The sequence below is a fragment of the Homo sapiens genome, chromosome 5, assembly GCF_000001405.40.
Source record: "Homo sapiens chromosome 5, GRCh38.p14 Primary Assembly".
In the NCBI taxonomy this organism is placed as follows: Eukaryota; Metazoa; Chordata; class Mammalia; order Primates; family Hominidae; genus Homo; species Homo sapiens.
In genome coordinates, this window is record NC_000005.10 from 25,692,009 (window position 1) to 25,714,239 (window position 22,231).

Consider the following 22,231-nt stretch of genomic DNA (forward strand, 5'->3'; position numbering starts at 1 on the left):
TGTTACTTGAAATTAGGTAGGGCCATATGGGGTTCTAGTTAGTATGTTATGAGGGAAGTGATGTACGTCATTGCTGTGCTGAAACTTTAACTGATGGTGTGAGAGATTGTCTTTGAAGATGACCAGACAATAAAACCTCTCTCGTTTATATGCACATGCCACTCCTCTCATCCAGAAGTAGATGCTACCTATTTTCCTTCGACTTGAATTTGGGTGGTCGTATGACTTTTTTTTCCCGATACAACGTAACAAAAGTGCAGCAAAAGTGAGCCTGTGTCTGTGTGACTCACCTGCAAAAGCCTTAGGTATTTCCATTATTTTATTCTGTTGTAAGCCAGATATCATCTAAGGACACTCAGGTCAGACTATTTAATGTTGAACAATCATGGATGGAGAGAGTGAATTTCAGCCCTCTAGTCATTCCTGCAGAGGCTTCAGACATGTAGATGAGGCCATCTTAGACCTGCCAACCCATGCATTCCCTAACTCAATGCACTTTTGAACTGCAAGCATAAATGGACCATGGCAAAAGCAGCAGAAAACTGTAAAATGTACAATGCGTTTTGCATCACAATTACCTGGATCATGATTGAAACATACATCACTGGTCCCTACCTCCAGAATTTCAGATTCTTTAGGTCTGGAAAGAAGCCAGACATTTTTGTTTCTAACATGTTACAACATCAGATACCACTGATCCATAGGTCACCCTTTAAGAGTCACTAACTCAATTTATATTGTTAAAATTTATTATTTCAAATGTGCAGAATAGCTATAATAAGAGCAGTTAAAATGACACTTTAAAATGAGAATAAACGTTGTTTCTGGCAAATAATGTCAAATTTTTAGATTTCCGGTAACATTGTTAATAGCACTATAATAAAAATATATTTTGTTAAAATTGTACATGTATTTACTACCCCAGGGGTTTACTTTATCACAATGATATTTGTCTTTGTCAAAATGTTAACTTTTAACATGGGGCCTATATTAATTCTCTATTGCTGCATAACAATTTTCCCTAAATTTACTGGCTAAAAACAAATTATAGTTACTATCTGATAGTTTCTATGCGTGAGAAATCTGGGCACAACCTAGCTAGGTTCTCTGCTTCAGAGTCACTCACAAAGTTGCAAATAAGGTATCTTTCCAGGTTCTGCCATCCATGTGAAGGCCTAAGGAAGGATGCACTTTGAATTCATTAACACATGATTACTCAGATGGCCATGGAAAAGATTCAGTTCCTTGTGGCTGTAGGGCTGAAAGCCTCAGTTTCTTGCTGGCTATCAACTGGAAATTTCCAACAGTTCATTGGTAGGTGTAATACAAAAGAGCCAGTGTAAGAATCTGAATAAGATGGGCCAGATGCGGAGGCTGACACTTGTAATCCCAGCACTTTGGGAGGCCGAGGTGGGCGGATCACCTGAGGTCAGGAGTTCAAGACCAGCCTGACCAACATGGTGAAATCCCATCTCTACTAAAAATACAAAAATTAGCCAAGCTTGATGGCACACACCTGTAGTCCCAGCTACTCAGGGGGCTGAGGCAAGAGAATTGCTTGAACTCGGGAGGTGAAGGTTGCAGTGAGCAGAGATCATGCCACTGCACTCCAGCCTGGGTGACAGAGTAAGACTTCCTCTCAACAACAACAACAAAAAAGAATCTGAACAAGATGGAAGCCACAGTCTTTTAAAATCTAATCTTGAAAATGGCATCCAATCACTTCTTCCGTATTCTCTTTTTTATGAGCAAGGCAGTAGGTCCAGCCAACCCACACGGAAGGAGTTTCACAAGGGCATGAATGTCAGGATTTTGAATCATCTCAGAAACTGCCTATCACATGGAGATCCAGAATTTGGCAAAATGTTCATATGGTACAAATGTAAAAATAATGGAATAATAAATAATAGAAAACTATAAATTTTTTAAAAGAACAATTGTGCTCTTATTTCATTAAGATAAATTTTTACACCATTAGAATAAAGGAAATTCATTTTAAGAAATAAGTTTAACATTTAAAAAATATAATTTTCACAGAGTATGTGGCTGTTTTGTTAACATATGCCAGTATATCTATATTGGTGCATATCTTTAAAGTAATAATTGGTATATGAATACATACTTATGTACCTTCTTCTGGTAAAGGTTTGCATTGTTTTTCAAATGATGGTAAGCCTTTGAGTTCACTTCCTATTAGTACACATATCCATCATTCTTTTAATTACCATGTCATATTTAATTATCTGAAAGTACTATAATTAAACTCCACTCTTATTGATAGACAATTGTTTCCAGCATTGCCGGTCTATATGGTTTTGTGCCCAAACAAGCATATCTTTCTAGGATAAATGCTTAAAAGTGGAAATTCTGTGAAAAACAGGAAGTACATTTTTCATTTGGAAGACATTGCCAAATGTCCGGTAAGGATATTTTATACAATATGCCCTATAATTCAATAACATATAAAAGCAGTCTTTCTATACCTTTGTCAATATTGTGAATTTTACAAGTATTTTGTACTTCACAAAACTGATTACTAAAAATTCCATCTCATTTAAGTTTAATAAGTGTTTATTTTATTATTAGTGTGTTTGGTCAGATTTCAGCAGGGTTTAAGCTTGTTATACTTCTTATTTTGCAAACTATCATATACTTACTTTACTCTTTTCTATTTTCTTCACTAGGTTGTTGATCTTTTCTACTTGATTCATAAGAATCTTTTAAAACATTTTATCTGAAATAGCTATTGCAATATTTTTCCAGTATTTTTTGATATTGTTTTATGCTGTTTCTCAACCCATCTGCCAAGCAGACATTTTAAAACTATATGCAGTTAAATTGTTCAAAATAGCAGTGGTGCACTGAATACTTACTCCAAATTGCAGCTCTGCTATGGGAGTGTGCTAGATAAGGAGATGTACTTCCCACATCTCCTTCAGTGAAAGACTTGGCTACCCATGTAAATGTGGGTAGGATGATCAGCAGGCAGCCTCCAGACGTCTGCCAGCTTCTTCAGGTTCTGGCTCAGTTGCAAAGAGTCATCTTGTCTAAAGTCATTCTCTTCCCAGAGTAGCTCACAACCAGTGACTGAGTGAGGCAGAAATATAAATGTCTACTTCTCCTGATACAGCATAACTCTGACATGCTCCAGAGCTCCTGCTGGGTAGGCTGAGGATTTATCAAACTCACCTTCAGTCCGACTTCTTTCTTTGCCCAACCTGTATCCTATTCTTTTCATGAGTGTAATACACTCTTGCACTCTAAACTTTATGCCAATATCCACTTCACAGATATCCAACCTGCGATATGTGGCAGTTCTTAATAATAACACCTTAGATTGTAGCCTCCAGCTATTTAAGCAGAAAGAAAATTCTTTTAAACACCTGCTGGAGGTTATAACCTAAGCTATTATGATTAAGAACTGCCACATATCACAGATTGGGTTCTTGTGAAGTGGATATTGACACAAAGTTTGGAATGCAAGAGTGTATTAACCCATTTAAGCCACGTAGTTTGAGATGTATTTTTAAGGCAGCCCTAGCAAATGAATACGACTGCCAATTGTCTTGATATGGGCTTTTCTTTTTGTCTTTCTTCCATTGTCTGTCTGTCTGTCTATCTGTCTGTCTCTCTCTCTGTCTCTCTCTCTCTCTCTCCCTCTTGCTTTCTCTATTTGGAATTAACAGAATTTACTTTATTCACAGATGCATCCAATTTGTCAATTCTGAACAAAGTTCAGTGACTGCCTTATTAAGCAGTTATCATTATTTTCTCTATTTCTTTTTGAACTCTAATTAGAAGTGTGGATTCTGCTCACCCCTCTAGCCTTTATTTCATAATTTCATTTTTTAAAATATTTTTCAATTTTTAATTCTCTGTGTGCCACATTCTATGGAATGTCTTTAAATGTTTTCCATTTTTAAATTTGCTTTTCTTTGCCAAATTTATGATTTTATTTTAGTACAAATATGTTTCATTTCAGAATATAATTTGTGTCATTTTATATCTGTTTAATTATTTTAATTGCCTTTTAGTTTTTCTTGTATATTTAATTCTCCCATTTATATTTTGAAACATCTTTAAATAGAACATATTAATTTTTATAACATTTGTCTGATATATTCTATTCATTTCTGTGGAGACAGTAATTCTAGGATTGTTCAGTCTCCCTTTTCATTTGCACCATCTTCTCTACAATCATTATAACAGTTTGCTTTTTTGTACTTGCTATGTGAAGAGTAATGCGCAAAAGACAAAATCAGAATGGAAATGGGGGAAGAATGCAAGTGCAGAGAAGGCCGATCCAGGAAGAAAGCGGATCAAATAGCAGAAATAAAATTCTTATTAAACCCCTGCTGGAGGTTACTACCTAAGCTGTTATGGTTAAGAACTGCCACCTATCACAGGTTGGTTTCTTGTGTAGTGCATATTGACACATTAAGAACAATTAATGAAATGAAATGAAACGAAGAGGAATTTTTAGAACTAGCATGCTGGAAAAGCTATGTTAATCTCTTGTTTCCCTATAAGTTTAGAAAAATTAACTTTAAGTATTGTGAGTGCCAAAAAAATGAAATTGTAGCTGAACTATATACAATGAGAACAAGGAGCACAATATTTGTATAAAAGCGCTCAATACAGACATGTGCAGAAAAGGAATGAAAAACATAACCCAACATTTCAAAATGAGTAAAACACAAGAAGAAAGACCTGATATTTCAGACAGTGATGGAAGCAACATATGATGTAGTTTCCCTGCTCCCCTCATACACAAAAAAAACCTTAATTTTTTTCATTTTGATATAACTTTTAATTTGCAGCCATGCCACAGGAATTCACCCAGCAAAATCTAAACTCAGAATATTTAAGTCTCTCAAGTAAAACAGATTACAAGGATGCTAAAAAAAAAATCGTAAGGAAAGAAAAAGACACACAGAGAGAAAGAAACAAAAATGGGAAAATGTAGACTAAAGAAAATTCAGACATTTATCAACCAACGAAAATGACCGGGTGTGTTTGGATGTTGATTCAAACACACTGTTATTAATATTTGTGTAATGGCAATTGGAAATTAGAATATTTACTGGATATTGGATAATATTAAGTAATTATTTACAGTATGATAAAAAGAGCACATCTCTTTCTGGGTCATGCTAAAATTTTATCTTGCTCACTCCACTCTAATATCGGAGTAGCAGCTATAGGAGGATATTGACATAGAAAACTTTTTTATGTGCTGGTAATTTTTAAAACGGTTTATGGCTATATTAGAAATACTTTAAAAATAAAACAAATCATAAAAGCAAACAACACAAATAAAGTGAAGAGAAAAAGCAGTTTATTGATTTTGAATGAGTACAACATTGATTTCTTCCCATATGCTTAATGATTTTAAAGGATGAAAGTCTGACATTTAAAAGTGTATTTTTTATATTGATTCTGTTTTGTTTTGTTTTCCCCTTCATTTGTGTTCAAAGATGTGAATTTATCACCTTGTATTGAGAAAGTATATGTAAAGAATGCCAGTTATAAAAATCAATTATTCAAATGATCACTCTGAATCTTTTCTATTTTACTTGGCGTCTTCCACTTTAGAGAAAGAGCCTTAGACTGTGGATCTGGAATCATTATCCACTTTCTCAGCATGGGAGTAGTTGAAGTCATTTAACATCTCTGAAACTTTTACCTCATCTGTAAAATAGAGATAAAAATACTTGCTTTTTTCATCTTACAAATATGCTTAATATATATTTTGTACTTTGTGATGGATAATTTAATATCAAGGTATAATTATGTCTAGTATGAAAAAGTAGACATGTGGTACCAACAGTATAGTTCCTGGGAATAAATGGAACAGTTAGAACCCGTGAGTAACTAAAATTAGACTGGATAATTGACTGGAAAAAGATATATAAGGAGCAGGAAGCTAGGGGATACAAGGGTTTCTTTCAAATGGACACATTTATAACTTTTCAAATAGAACTGATATTGAAGGACATTAAATTCATTTATAGATCTAAAAATAAAAAGTAAAATAAGGTATTAATATAAATAGATAACATAATGCAAAATATTAAAATTGATTTTAAATTAATATTAATCTGATATTTACTTAATATTAATGCAGTTTAGATTCAGAATTAATGTTTAAATTACTATTCAAACTAATATAATTCTGGTAATTTTGAACAAATTATGTTAAGTTACAATATGTCATAGTGTTTGCCACAGTACTTCACTATAATTGTATCAGGAACATAGACCTGTGTTTTCAGTCAGATTATAGTATATATAATGTAATCATCAATACTACCAGTTATTCAATAGAACAAACATAATATACAACATATAATCTCTTCAGAATTTCATGACTTTTTACTTTATTATTTAGTTTAGCCTACATATATTTGCTTCAAAGTTTCAATATTTAGAATTAGAGATAATCCATAAATCCAAAATAACTAAATTTAGATATTTAAGCAGCATTTACAATAAAAATTATAATGCCATTATAATATTTAAACAAAATAATCAGTTTAAAATATGAAGTTGACAAATTTGAATGTAAGGCATTCTCAGAAAGGAGATCTTTGAAAATAAAGAGTACATGAGGATTAGCATAGAAGACTGTAAAAGTCTCATAATGCATCACATTTTAAAACCTAATATGAGGAAAGTATTGCCATTTATTCTCTTAAATGTAATAAAAATAAATACAACTTCCACCTTGTCTACAGAAAATTTGGAGGTTTTGTAGCTTAGATCTGAATGTATAAAATTGCAGGAAATAAATGTTTATCAAAGGTTTCCCAACTAAGATATGTGGTGTTTTTCTTACTTACATACCCACAGACTTCCGTACTCTTCAGTTACCATCAAACTTCAACAATGTGGGGATTCCACACTATTTCTTACTCACAGTTACTTAGACAAGATAACTTCTCCTATTTGATAAGTAAGTTTCTAATATTTAGAAAACTCTTTCTTTTGATTTGACTTTCTTTTCCCACCAATGATAAAATAAAATTTTTAAAAGGCAGATTAAAAATATTTTTCTGTACTATTTCTTAAATAAAAATTCTTCAGTTTGTCATTAAAAGCAAAAAAAAAAGTTGTTTGATTTAATCATTGGGCAGGTAATGTTACCTTCATGAGTGTCTTTTCCTGTGCTGGAAAGTGTAAGCAACTCTGAAACGTGAGCTCTGAAGGAAGCTAGAAAGCTCTTTTGTCTGAATAAAACATCAGTGAGCACCTTTGGCAGCTCATGCTTAGGAAAATCTTCTTTTCTTTGATTATCTTCCCATAGTCCACAATTCTACCAGCGAAGAAATCTCCGCTTTCTAGTACCTATGACAGATACAAGCTTTGTTAAGCACATTTGTCCTAGTGTACTGCAGCCTACAATTAGAAAGAGGAATTGGAGAATATGTCAGAGGAAAAATCACAATCAAAACTCATTTTCTAACACGTAATTAGAGCCAAAACATGACTACATTCCAGATTTCCTAAAATCCTATCCCAAATTAGAATGTTTTTAAATGTCAAAGTTTCACTCAAATGTTTTCCCAATTACGCCATTTTTTGATACACCTTCACTAATACTCTTTAATGAGATACGAAGAATTCTTTGAAGATCAGCATTAAAGCATTAAATTGAAGAAGGAAAAAAAAACTTTTGAAGTTTTGCACATATCTGTCATCTTATTTACTATCAGTCATTGCTAGGTCTATGCTTCTGAGTATAAGAAAATGTTTCTCTTCATTAAGAGGAGGTTGTCCTTTAATGAGTACTAATGATTCCACTTTGAAACTAATAGGAAATCCTGAATATATAAACTTATTGACATTAAAAATCAGCAATACTAATACTAACATCAAAGTAATGATATTGTTTAATATATTAATTAAGCAAAATGTAAACAAATTGGCATTCCAGTTATTACCTCATCAAGGTAATTTTTTAAAGTAAGAAAGCAACTTAATTTCATGTGTATTTAACAACTTTAGGTGAGGTAACTTTTACATATAAGTGATTTTTGCAATGATTTGAATATATCTAGATCTATCTACATTTATATATTTATAGAGAGATACAGATATATACATCAGTTTTTCAATTAAAGAGGATATTTAAATGGTTAAATGTAGAAAACAATTGCTCACAATAAAGATTTATGCATTTACTGATTACTACATTTTAATTAAACTGAGCATAATTTATTTAGCACTAGGCATTGCAACATAGCTTACAGCATAAAAGAACAAATAAATATTAATATGTAGCTTGAGAATAAAATATTCCATTCCAAAAAAAAGAGAGAGAAAAAATATCCCAGCACAGTGTTTATAGGTAAAAAATTAAAAGAGATAATAAAAAATTGGTGAATAGACACATACGTAGATTGGTGAATATTTAGAGATGTAAATGTAGACATTTATAGAAATACAGATAAATAAAAATATAAGTATGTAATAGAGAGTTGTAAAGAGATAGTCACACACATACAGATTCTTACATCTTATAAGAATCCTATTCCATTATTTTTAAACAGGTTTGTTGAGATATAATTTATATACTGTATAATTTCTGTATATAAAGTATACATTAATGGTTGACAGTTTATTAATGAATATGTGAAATTATTCCAGTAATCAATTTTAAAACATTTCCATCATTCAAAAACAAACCGATAACCCTGTAACATTCAGCTGTCACCTCCTTCAAGACACTTCTGCCCAGATCTAATCATTAATCTACTTTCTGTATATATAGATTTCCCACTTCTGAACTTTCATATGAATGGAATCATACAGTATGTAAAACTTTTGTTACTAGCTTATTTCACCTAGTGTAATGATTTCAAGATTCATCCATGTTATAGCATGTATCAGCACTTCATTTTTTTTTATGTTTGAATTATATTCCATTAAATGGATACATCACATTTTGTTTATCTATTTCTCCATTGACAGTCATTTGGTTGGCTTCCACATTTAAAAAAAATTGTGGATATATAGTAAGTGTTTTTATTTCCACATTAAAAAATGTTGTGGTTTATAGTAGGTATAAATATTTATGTGCCATATGAGATATTTTGATACAGGCATGCAATATGTCATGAAAAATTGGGTATCCAGCTCCTCAAGCATTTATTCTTTGTGTTACAAACAATCTAATTATACTTTTAGTTATTTTTAAATGTACAATAAAAATATAGAATGCTTCATGAATTGCCTGTCATCCTTGCACAGGGGCTATACTAATCTTCTCTGTGTCATTACAATTTTTGTGTATGTGTGTTGCCAAAGCAAGCAATTTCTACATTTTTGCTATTATGGATAATGCTATTATAAAATTTGCATGCAAGGTTCTGTATATGTAAATATGTGCTTTTTTCTCAGGTATACATCTAGAAGTAAAATTGATGGGTCATAATGGAACTCTATATTTAATAAAATTAAGAACTGTTAAAGTGTTTTCTAAAGCAGCTCTATCATTTTCAAATTCCTTTCAGCAGAATAGGAGGGTTTCATTTTTACACATTATTGCCAACACTTGTTGTTATCTTACTTTTTGATTCTAGTAATCTGAGTGATGTGAAGTGGTATCAAACTGTGAGTTTGATTTTCACTTCCCTGATGAATAATGACTTGGAGAACCTTTTTGAGTACTTACGTTGTTGAGAAAAGAGCTAAAGAGCTCGCTGCCTGATGCCTTAGAAGCAAATACCATGGCACTAGGTTTTGAGAACGAAAAAAAAAAAAAAAGCAAAGCAAAACAAAAAAGCTTTATTTTGTGTCCACCAACAGTGAGATAAAAGGCCAGTTCACATCTGTGTCCCTACCCCTTTCCCCCTGTAAAGTTCCCCGATAGGCACAGTTGTCTCTTCATGCCCCTTCATGGGTTGCATGTGCAAATTTGGGTGGGGGCGTGATATGAAACAGGCAATGGAAATTTAGGCTGTGATGTCAGCAAGTTCGTTCCACACAGACCATAGTTGTCCATATTGGTTCTAACTGGTATCAGCCAGTTTTGTTACCTTATAAGCTAACGGAGTATCAGCAAGCTGTTTCTTTTCATATTTGCTCTTCCTGTAAGCTCAACACTTTCTATTATTCACTGTTTTCTTTAGTTCTTTGGAGCATGGCTACACCTACTGACCATCTGTATATCTCCTTTGAAGAGATGTCTATTCAGATCTTTTGCCTATTTTTTAATTGTGTTGTTTTTATTTTTGAGTTGTATGATTATATATATATATATATATATATATATATGCATACGCATATTAGGATTTCCTTTTCAAACATGTGATTTGTAAATTTTTTTTCCCATTCTCTGGGCAGACTTTTCCCTTTCTTGATGATGTCCTGTGAAGTACAAACATTTTTAATTTTGATTAAGTCCAGTTTATCAATTTTTGTGTGCGTGAGTGACTACTGCTTTTGGTGTCATATCTAAGAATCCTTTGCCAATCAAAGGTCCAAAAGATGGGCCCTTATGTTTTATTCTAAGAATTTTTTAATTTTTGGTTTTACATTTAGGTGTTTAATATATTTTGAGTTAATTTCTTTATATGGTCTAATGTAAGGGTTCAACTTTTTTGTTTGTTTCCTTAGGTCTCTTGCAATTCTACATGAACCAGCTTGTCAATTTCCACAGAAAAGTTGGCTAAGATTCTCATAGGAATTGCAGTAAATCTGGAGGTCAGTTTGAGGAGTATTGCCATCTTAACAACATTAGGTCTTCTCATCCATGAACCTGGGTATTTTTTCATTTACTTAGATTTTCTTTAGTTTTTTGAACAATGCTTTGCAGTTTTTAGAGTAGACACTTTGTTTTTCTGTTACATTTATTCCTGGGTATATAATTTTTTGATGCTATTATAACTGAAACTTTAAAAAATACATTTAAAAATATTCACTGCAAGAGCATAGAAATGTAACTGATTTTTTGATATTGATATTGTATCTTACAACCATGCCAAACTCATTACTTTTAATTTTTTAGTAATTTCATATGATTTTATACATATAATCACATGGTCTGTTAATATAGTTTCAATTCTTCCTTTCTCATCTACTTTTCTTTTTGTTCTTGCCTAACTAGAATCTCTAGCACAATGCTAACTAAAACAGCAAGAATAGACATCCTTGTCTTTTTCTTGACTGTAAGTGGGAAGTATCCTGTCTTTTTCCTGTAAGTATGATGTTAGCTGTGGAGTTTTCATAATTCCCTTCATCAGCTTCAGGGAGTGGAGAGTTCCTTCACATTGTTATTTTTTAGTGCTTTTGTTATTGAAAGTTTCTGGGTTTTGTCAAATGTTTTTTCTGCATTTATTGTGATGATAGCATGATTTTCATTTTTTATTATTTTAGTAAATTGTATTTCAATAATAATTTTTAGATGCAGTCAACCTTCATTTTTAGAGTAAATCCTACTTGATTGGAGTGTATAATTCTTTTTATGTATTTCTGGATTCAGTTTGCTAGTACTTTATGCAGGATTTTTGCATACAGCTTCATAAGGGATATTGGTTTAAAGATTTCCATTTCTGTTGATGATTTGTTTGTATTTCATTTTAGGGTAATATTGGCCTCATTAAATTAGTTGAGAAGTATTCTATTTTGGGAGGTAAGTGGAAGAGAATAATTTGTAAACCATTTTCGTGAACTATCTTTAAATATTTGGAAGACTTGGGTTAGTGAAACATCTAGGAACGGCATTTTCCTTGTGGACAGGTTTTTGAATACGGATTCAGTCTGTTCACTTCTCATAGGTCTATTCAAATTGTGTATTTGTTCTTGGGTCAAATTTGACAGTTTGTCTTTTAGGGATTTGTCCATTATATCTAAATTATCTAGTTTGTTGGCGTACAATTGTTCACAACATTTCTTTTTAATTTTTTTTAAATTGATTATGTCAATAGTAATGGCTCCTCTTTCATTTCTTATTCTAGTTATTTCACTCTTCTCCATTTCTTTCTTGGTAAATTTAAAGTTGTGTCAATGTTATTGATCTTTTCAAAGAACCAGCTTTTGGTTGCATTGATTTTCTTTATTTTATCTTTTCACCTACTTTCTATTTTACTATCTAGCAATTATTATTTATTTTATTCTGCTTGTCTTAGGTTTAGTTTGCTCTTTTGTTGATGGTGTAAGTTGGAAAATTAAGTTTTTGTTTTGAGTTCTTTTTTCTAACTTAACATAGACATTTACCGCTATAATTTTCTCTCTAAACAATGCTTTCACAGCAGTTTGTAAATACCATGTTTTCATTGTTATCCTTCTTAATGTATTATAACTTCCCTTTTAAATTTTATTAATTTTTTGGCTACTTGAGAGTGTGTTGCTTAATATTTATATATTTGTAAGTAAGTACAAATTTTCCTTGTCATTGATTTCTAATTTTCTTTCATTGTGTTGGTGAACATATTTTGTATTATTTCTATCATTTTAAATGTATTCAATTTTTTTATGACATTTAATGTGATGTATCCTGAATAATGCTTCAATTGCACTTGAGAAGAATCTATATTCTGTGTTGCTGGTGGAATGTGCTATGAATATCTGCCAGGCCTAGTAAGTTTATAGTGTTCCAATTCTTCTATTTGATTGTTGAATTTCTGACTACATACTATTTATTATTAAATGTGGAATACAGAAGTCGCCCACTATTATTGTTAAATTATCTAGTTCTCCCTTAATTTCTGTCAGTGTTTAATTTATGCATTTTGGTATTATGTTTTTTGGTGCACATATGTTTTAAACTGTTATACCTTTCTGATGGGTTGATTTATTATTATAAAATATACTCTTTATTTCTAGTAACTCATTTTTATTTTAATGTCTATTTTGTCTGCTATTAGTATAGTCACATCAGCTTTCCTGTGGTTGCTGTTTGCCTGATAAATCTTTTCCATCCTTTTACTTTCAATCTATTTGTTTTCTAATCTAAAATACATCTCCTGTATACAACATAAAGTTGTATCATTTTGTAAAAATTAGGTCTTAAAATCTTTATTTGATTGAAATGTTTAATCTATCAGTAATAATGTTACTGATATAGTTAGACTTCTGTCTACTATTTTATATTTTGTGTTGTATATCTCGTCTTTTTTTCCTCTATTTCACTTTAATGCTTTATTTTCTATTAAATGACTGTGTTTTAATGTGGCATTTTGATTTTATTAATGCTTTCTGCACCATTTTCTAGTTGTGTGTATGTGTGTGTGTATGCGTTTGTGTGTTCACTCTAACATTTATCATACCCACTTTAACTTATTAGGACAATATCAGATTTATACCAGCTTAATTCAGTATTATGTGTAAACATTACTACTATATATCACCTTTATCCCCATTAAATGGAATTATTGTTACATGTAATGCCTTAATTAGTGTTAAAAACCCAACAAGACATTCTTATTGTTATGACTCTATCATCTGTCATCATTTTTTTAACCCATTACAGCTTTGTGCCCACCAATCACTGCTGTGCTGTTATTGACAAATATATTACACATACACTGCATTTTTATGTTTTATATGTCTATTCTAAATGTATATGCAATACATTTTACACATATTATTTTAAACAATGGCTTTTAAAATCAGTTAATATAGGGAAGAATAAAATATGCATTTATCGTCTCCTTTATAATTACATAATTAACTTTATCAGTATTCTGTTTGTTTTTATAGGTTATAATTACCATTTGCAGAACTTGCTTTCAACCTGAAGAATTTTTGATATATGTCTTTAAGGCAGAGCAGTAAGAAAGAGTATGTCTCAGTTTCTCTTTATTGAATCATGTGTTTATTTCACCTTCATTTTTGAAAGAGAGCTTTGATGAGTATAGGACACTTGATTGACAGTTTTTGTTGTTGCTGGCTTTTTTGAGTATTTTGAATATGTTAAAATAGTTTGCCTCCTAGCTTCTGTTAATTTTTCTGAAATGTCAGCTTCTGTCTTACTGGGAGTTTCTTGTAAGTTATATGCCATTTTCTCTTGCTACTTTCAACAGTTTTTTTCTTTTCTTTGACTTTCAGCATTTTTATTATGAAGTGTGTGTTTTTGTCTCTATGTTTACATTTCAAATCTACTGTTACACCCTTTTACTAAATGTTATACATTTCAGTTATTGTATTTTTTAACTACACAATTTCCATTTACTCTTTTTAAAATAAATTATATTTTTATTGAAGTTTTCTGTTTGATGCAACACTGTTATGATATATTTCTTTACTTCCTTAACTGTGCTTTGCTTTAGGTTAATGAGCATATTTATTTATATTGACTACTTTGAAATCTTTTTCTGTTTAATCTGAAATTTAGCTGCTTTCACAAGCAGTTTCTATTGCCTTTTTTTCTGCTGTAGGATAATACTTTATTTATAAATACCTCACAAGCTTTTTTTTGAAATTAGATATTTTAGGCAATATATATAGGATCTTTGCATACTGTCCTGGGAGGCTTGTGATTGTAATTTGCTTGTTTATATCTTTAATGACTAGGTGGAATATTTTTGACTACTCTCCATGCAAAGTGTCAGTCTGTTCCTCATGAAGACACATCTTTGGGTATACCATACTACACCTACAGTGCAGTGGTCATGTAAGGCTCTCTACCACTTTTTCCCTGACCATACACAGCTGTCACGCTCCATTAATTACAGGCTGTTTTTGACACTTATTGTTTTCAATAATGCCCTGAGGCATAAATACCTCTACAAACTAATTTAATCAAATTGTAGATTTCTGGAGAAAATATTTAACAGTTTCTGAAGTAAGTGTTTGAAATTTTCTGACCCCTGAAGTGTTTTCTCAGCTTATTTCCCAGTTCTCCCTGCTAAGTAACAGGAATACAGGCTACATCTTATTTCCATTAGACCCACAAATTTTCTTCAAATTAGTTTTCATCACAACCTCCACTGAATTTTACAGTATGTTTAGGTTTAAAATTTTCCATGCTATGCTGCAAATGAAGGCAGTCCTTTGGAAAGAGATTAAACCATCTGTTTTATTAGGTTACTCTTCCCTCAGGCAGAATCTCTGATCTATGGCTCTGGAGTTTGGGGTTGGAGAAAATATTAAGGTTTCCTCTGAGTGACAGCTCCACTGTAGGTACTGAGTGCTGTGGAAGGGGAAGAGGGTGAGCAGCCTGGGGTCGTCTCTGCTTGCCTCTGCTGTTATACAAACATCATCTCACAAGTTAAGGAAGGTCTACTAGGGCCAGAGTATTCTCAGAGCACCACATCCAATATACTGCCTCTTTTCCTCAAGTAGGGAATGTGTGGAAGAAGGAAAGCCCAACCTCAACTGCATTCACCCAAGGGTTGTCCTCAGCAATAGGTAGCTGGAGACAGGATGAGAAATGTTAAAGTTTTACTTGTTCTTGGAAGAACAGCTTCCATCTGGGAGCCGGGTGAAGAGAAAGCCCTATGTTCTTAGCTGCAGCAATCTGGAGTGGAGTCTCTGCCTCACTGAGTTCAGAGTGAAAAGGGAAGAAGCTATCTTGGTTCAAATACCACAAAATCTCACCTATCTTTACCATTTTTTGTAGGTTTTCTATAATAGGTGCATCTTCATGTGCAGTTTTATCTTAAGCCCATTTCAAATGATTCAAATGATTGGGGTTTTTTTTGATAATTTTCACCAGTTTCACTGAGGGGCAGGTCAGAGGAGTTCCTCACACTGTCCTGCAGAAGTCAGTCTTGATTGCTTCTAAAACTTGACAATGTGTAAAAACTGCATGCAGAGCTTTAAAGATTACTAACGCTTGGCTTACAGACCTAAGTATTCTTATTTAATTTAATTTAATTTATACAGGATGTATTTATACAGGATGTGAACTGAACATTGGGAATATCAAAAACTTTGTGTCATTGTATTTGTGTAACTAAAGTTAAGGTTTGCTGCTCTAGTTTTATAAGAAATATTATCTTTTTTTGTATTACAACTTTACTTTCTAGAAATCCTTTTTTTTTTTTTGAGGCAGAGTTTTGCTCTTGTTGCCCAGGCTGGAGTGCAATGGCGTGATCTCGGCTCACTGCAACCTCCGCCTTCCAGGTTCAAGTGATTCTCTTGCCTCAGCCTCCCAATTAGCTGGGATTACAGGTGTGGGCCATGACGCCTGGCTAACTTTTTGTGTTTTTTTAGTAGAGTTGGGATTTCACCATGTTGGTCAGGATCGTATCGAACTTTTGACCTCAAGTGATCCACCCATTTTGGCCTCCCAAAGTGCTGGGATTACAGGTGTAAGCCACTGGGCCCAGCCCTAGAAATTCTTTGGGAACAATATTTTCACTAGCCCTTTTAGCCAGTCTACTCTTAATAGATTTCTTAGTTGGCTTTCCATTATCTGCCCTTTTGTTTGTATGTCATTAGATTTAAATGTTTATGTTTAAGAAAAATACTCAAGCCATTATTCATAAATCTTCAGTAAAAATAAGTTAACTGTAAACCTAAAAAATGTTAACTGTTTTGAATAACATAGCAAGTAAAAATAACTGACTTTTGGAGTATGAATATAAGACTGGTAAATGTATATATCATTAGAGAAATCAGTGATTTTTGTTTTACCGTGAGTATTCTATATGATATTTTTTCCTCACATTTGGCCAACCTATAATGATTATTTTGGATATAAAGACAATATGATCTTTGTTTTATAAGTAAAATAATTGTATTAGCTAATATAATTTTAATACTATGTTTTACTATTATGACACTTCAAGATGCCTGGCAGATGAGGATATGCATGAACACTTGTTTGATTAGTTTAGGAAGAAAAAAGGGTATAACTAATTTAAAAATAAAACAGATAATCCCAACCTAAAATATTCATGTGAATTATTTATTGTGTCTTACAGAAAGTTTTTGTTATTTAAAAAAAATTAAACTTGACCTTGAAAGAAGAATTCATAAAGTAGTGAAGGACGTTGAAACTGGGAAGGATCTGAGATATTACACTATTTACACAGATAACATATACCTGGCATACTAGACCACTAGATTAGGAAAAACACATTTTGTTTACTCATTGATCATCTTATTGTTGGTTTTCTAAGCCCCAGTCTCCCATAGGGCAGCATGATAAGGCCAGATGTCATTTGATTATATGACAGAGGATATAGGAAGAGTTCTGTACCATAGGAAAACAAAAAAAAAAGCTGTAATTATGAATTTTGGAGCTTATGTAGAAACTGCTTACACAGTATCTGTCAGGAGGAAAGGAGAGTGACCTTTACAACTCTTTGATGTGATCATTTAGGTCTAGGGTTGAAAACAAAAAGAACAAACGATTCTGGGTCTATCACCATTAGAATGTGACCAAATGCTATGGGAAAACATACAACTTCTAACTTCAAAGGAACAATTGCCACCCAACGTTCCTTAACGCAGGTTGCCAGTTTCCTTTTCTCAGAAAGCCCTGATGCTACAAAAACATGAAAACATCCAATTAGCATGGTTTCTTGATAAGCACATATTGAAAATGTCAAATCTTTGAACAAACTGAGATATGTATACATTTATGCACCTAAATTATAAAATGTCTCATGTAATAAGAGGTAATGACTTCATTAGGTGTTAAAAGCAATTCTTTCTTTGAATATTCTTTTTTTCTAGGTAACTCTGACTCATTATGAACTTTACTTATTTTAATTGAAACTAGTAAAATCATTGCTCAAAAGAAAAATGGTTTCTACAATATGTTTAGAAGAATTTTCCAAATATTTTTTAAATTAGAAAAATATTTACCTTATCCTTATTGATTTCACTATTGATGTTTGTGTAATGAAAGTAGATATTTTATAGCAGAATGTTTTAATTCATACATTTTAGAAATACTTGAAAAATTTAACAAAATATGTATTTTATTATATTTGGAAAAAATATATTTAATTTTTTTTTAAAATTTCTTGCTTTGAAAGATGAAAAACTGTTTTGGGGAACTATAGGGATTTGCTTTTACCTGAATTTTTATTTTATACAATTGAGTCTATAATCTACTTGTTTATAACCACTTGAAATATTCCAGTTATTCAGATAAATATACCATACACATTATAATGTTGCTTCTTCAGAAATCTTAAAAATGATAAACCAGATTTTATGCCAATTTGCCTTTATGCAACAAGTTTTTCCGTATTTTAACAGTAAGGCATCCCATGTTTTTAATAACAAAGACCTGGAAACAATTCTTATGAGACTAAGCTAAGGCTGTATACAAGGGAGGAAGCATTTTAGTTGATATATTTCAAAAGATTAAAGAAACACTTAGTAAACCCGGGCATGGTTTTCTTTTACATAAAATGTTATTTATCACATAGAATCATGAATTATTTACAAGCACTGGAGTCACTTGCAACAGGAGTAAACAGAATTGATGATGACCTTCAGTTCACTGTACTGCAGAGAAAGTCATTCTCTCATTAGATTTTCACTGGAGAATAAAAGAAGCCTTTGCCTCATGAAAATTCACTGCCGGCTCCCTCATTCCCTTTCTTTCACCATAGAGTTGAAAATAAAAGTGTTTCTTTATTTTTTTTAAGGTTGCTTCTACATATAATGAAAAAACAACTGCAAATGACTCTAATCCCAGCTGTTAAATGGATCTGACTATGGTCTCTCTGTTGGTACGCCATTTAGAAAGATCCAGATGGGCTCTCGATCGGAAACTAAATGTCAAATAAATGTGTAGACATTTCTGCCATTGTCAGTGAGTCTTTAGGGAGCTATTCATTGACTAGGGTGTTAGGATGGTGGAGAAACAAATTTTCCGAAACAAACTCAAACATTATTACAATGAGTCTTTTTCCTCTCAGGTCTGAGTGACTGTCAGGGACAGGATTTTTTTTTCTACATGATCTGTGAAAATATCATTTAGAATTTACAGTAAGTTATACAAAATAAGTTTCTTATCACTCATTAATTAGATGTTTTAGTGGAAAATTTATGGGCTTCAGCACAGTTACTGAATATGTTTTCTATTTTCCATAAATATTGTAACACTCTAAATGGTTACTATGAAGTTTAACTCAGATTCTACATAAAAATCATGTAAAATAGTTACTGGTGCTTAAGAGGTATATAGTAAATGTCATATCTTAGTTGAATCCCTTCCTGAAATTGGCTCAAATTAAAATATCTAGAAACAGGCTACTTATTGCCTGGAGCTATATGGGCAAGTTCTCTGGAAATATAACAATTAAATAAGAATGCACACACAATATTTGCTGAATTGAGTTAAATTGATTTTATCACTTGTAAATATAGTTCTTAAACAGATACATATGGATTTTTATAATAGATATTGAATAATAGCTAGAAAAAGATAAATTGATTAGTATTTGTGAAAGAAAAGACATAAAAGGATCAAAGAAAAAGGTAAGAATTATGTTAAGTCAGAGGGAGTAAAGGAGAGTTAAAAAGGGACTTAAAACATGAAGATTTTATGACAACCTTATTTTCCCACCTTTTTTTATAACTGGGTATTCCAGTGGGTTTGACTGGGGTGTGCTTCCTGGGTGATATGAACATCAGTTAAAGGTCAAGAAGAAAGATTCCTGGCATCAATGGGTTAGGAGAGAATCACTCAAGTATCACCAAAAATTGTTATCTAACAGTAAAATCCTAGAATAGTTACTTCTGGAAAAGATTTCTCTGGAGTCCTAGTCTCATACAGCAGAATTAGGGGGCAAAAAAGTAATTTTTACTACCAAGATTGTCATTTAAGGATAGTCCATGTATATATAATACCCCAAATATTAATGTATTTGAACACCAAGTACAGTAGAAGGAACCAGCTCTAAAGGCAAGATGTCTGATTATTCATTCATGTAAATAATAGACATACTCAACAGTTTTTTTAATGAATGAAGGTAAAATTTTACTGTATAACTATAATATGTATGAAGATCTAAAACTGGGTAAACTTTATTGAAAGATAATAGCTTAATTTACATTGAAATTGTAGATATTTACTTTCATTAATGTTTTCAAAATGATATGTAGGTAAAAATAAACCATGAACTCTTAATGATTTTGAAAAAAATCGCCTACCATAATTAATAGTGATATATGTTTTGAACTCATATTCTAGTAATCATATCTTTCAGGCAATATTTTTTAAGAAATGTACATATTCTAGCTACCTAATCACATGTAATCCAGTTGCCAACCTACTATAAGTTTTTTTCTCAGTAAGAAATGTGGTAATTTCTTACCTATGCACGTTTTCATATCTCATGTAATTCTGACAAAAATCTTAAATATTGTAGAATGAACTATTCATTTTTCAAATAAAAATGATGAACAAAAGTGCATGAAACAAACTTTATTAAACATTTGTCAGTTAAATTTTTTCTCAGTTCCTTCCTGAAAAAAATTTCAGTTTGAGTGTTTAACTGATACTGTTGAATATATGAAATTCTCCTAAACATGATTATTGGTCCTGGTGTTGGCAACATTAGTATAGTTTCCCATTTCTCATAAACTGATAAAATATATAAACTCTGCATTAGTTACCATTTAATAAATGTTCATTTTTAATAATTACCCATGGCTATTAAGTAAGATTTTTCCTTTTTATTTTTTCCCTCATTCCTTTTCACAAGCCACATAGAGCAAGACTGTAGTTAGTCGTGAAAGAGATAAAGAATGTGATCAAAGAAAGATTTGCAGCCCAGCGGATGTCAGCAAACTTAGGAGAGATTTGCACCTGAGTGTGAATATAGTAGCTTTCAAGAAAATAGAGGATCAAATTTTTTATTTATTTTGGACTGAACTTTCTAATTCCTGAAACCCTAAAGTGACTATTGTATTAGTTGGCAGAGATAAAGCTGTACGTCACTGCCTAATTGACCTTTGAGAATTAGGAGAAAGAAACCTATTCAGTGATTCTTCACCACTGAATTTCTTCTATATAATAAGCCACTGATACATTTTTTTCAAAATTAACAAAATTAACAAAAGTAATTTTACATTCATAAGAATTCCATACTATAAATCTGAGTTGAAACATTTAAATTTTTCTCAAAAATATATTCTCCTCAAAAGAAATACAGAGTTCTTTATCCCATCTTTTACTCACACCATCCCTTTTTGTTGCTGTTGTTGTGAGTGGCTTGTAAAACATATAAAAATCTGTACAAATTTAATGTACCCATCTTGATAAATTTAAAGATATACAGACCCATGAACCCATCCATAAACTATGCCATAAAACATGATCATCATCTCAAAAAGATTCCTCTCTGTTTTTGTTTGTTTGTTTTTTTGATAGGAACATTTAACAAAAGTACTACAATGATAACAGTGTTTTAAACATACAATACAGCAGGAGTCCCCGACGCCTGGGCTGCAGACCCGTGCTGGTCCGGCGAGCAACACTTTATCTGTATTTACAGCAGGTCTCAATGCTCACATTACTGCCTGAGCTCTGCCACCTGTTGATCAGCGGAGACATTAGATTCTCATAGGAGTGTGAACTGCATTGTGAATTGCACAAGCAAGGGATGTGGGTTGTGGTTTCTTATGAGAATCTGTTGCCTGATGATCTGAGGTGGAACAGTTCCATCTCAAAACCATCCCCAGTACACCCCTTGTCAGTGGGAAAAAAGTCCTCCACGAAACTAGTTTCTGGTTCCAAAAAGACTGGGGACTGCTACAATACAACATAAGTAACCATACATGCTATGCTGTATAGGATTTATTATGTTAAATAACTGAAACTATGTACTGATTGAAAATACCTCCCTGATTCCTCCTCTTCTGAGCTCCTGACAACTAGTATTCTACTCGCTGCTTCCATGAGTTTGACTCTTTTAGATACCTAAGTAGTATCATGCAGTATTTGTTCTTCTGTTTCTGGCTTTTTCAGTTAGAATAATGTCCTCCAAATTCATCCACACAGTAGCAAATGGCAGAATTTCTTTTTTAAGGCTGAATACTATTTTACAGTATGTATATAACATTTTTCTTTATCCATTTTTTCTGTTAATGGACATGTAGTAAGTTTCTTTTTATGCTATTGTAAATAATGCTTTGATAAATATTGGAATGCAAATATCTCTGACATCTCAATGTCAATTCTTTTGGGTATAAATCCATCAGTATTTTGGATCATACAGTTGTTCCAACTTTAATTTATTGAGAAGCCTCAATTCTGTTTTTTTAGTGGTTCTATCAATTTACATTCCCACCAGCAATGTAAAATGGTTCTCTT

General features: G+C 32.0%; 1 pseudogene, besides 1 other annotated feature; it reads right to left on the reverse strand.

Annotated features, from left to right (window-relative positions):
* Nucleotides 9,209–9,316, reverse strand: RNU6-374P (RNA, U6 small nuclear 374, pseudogene; annotated as a pseudogene).
* Nucleotides 16,939–17,659: an enhancer, noted in NCBI's record as "OCT4-NANOG hESC enhancer chr5:25709056-25709776 (GRCh37/hg19 assembly coordinates)". NCBI's record gives its function as "activates a minimal SCP1, AML or CMV promoter by ChIP-STARR-seq in primed H9 embryonic stem cells {active_cell/tissue: H9 hESC(primed)}" and the evidence as "EXISTENCE:reporter gene assay evidence [ECO:0000049][PMID:30033119]".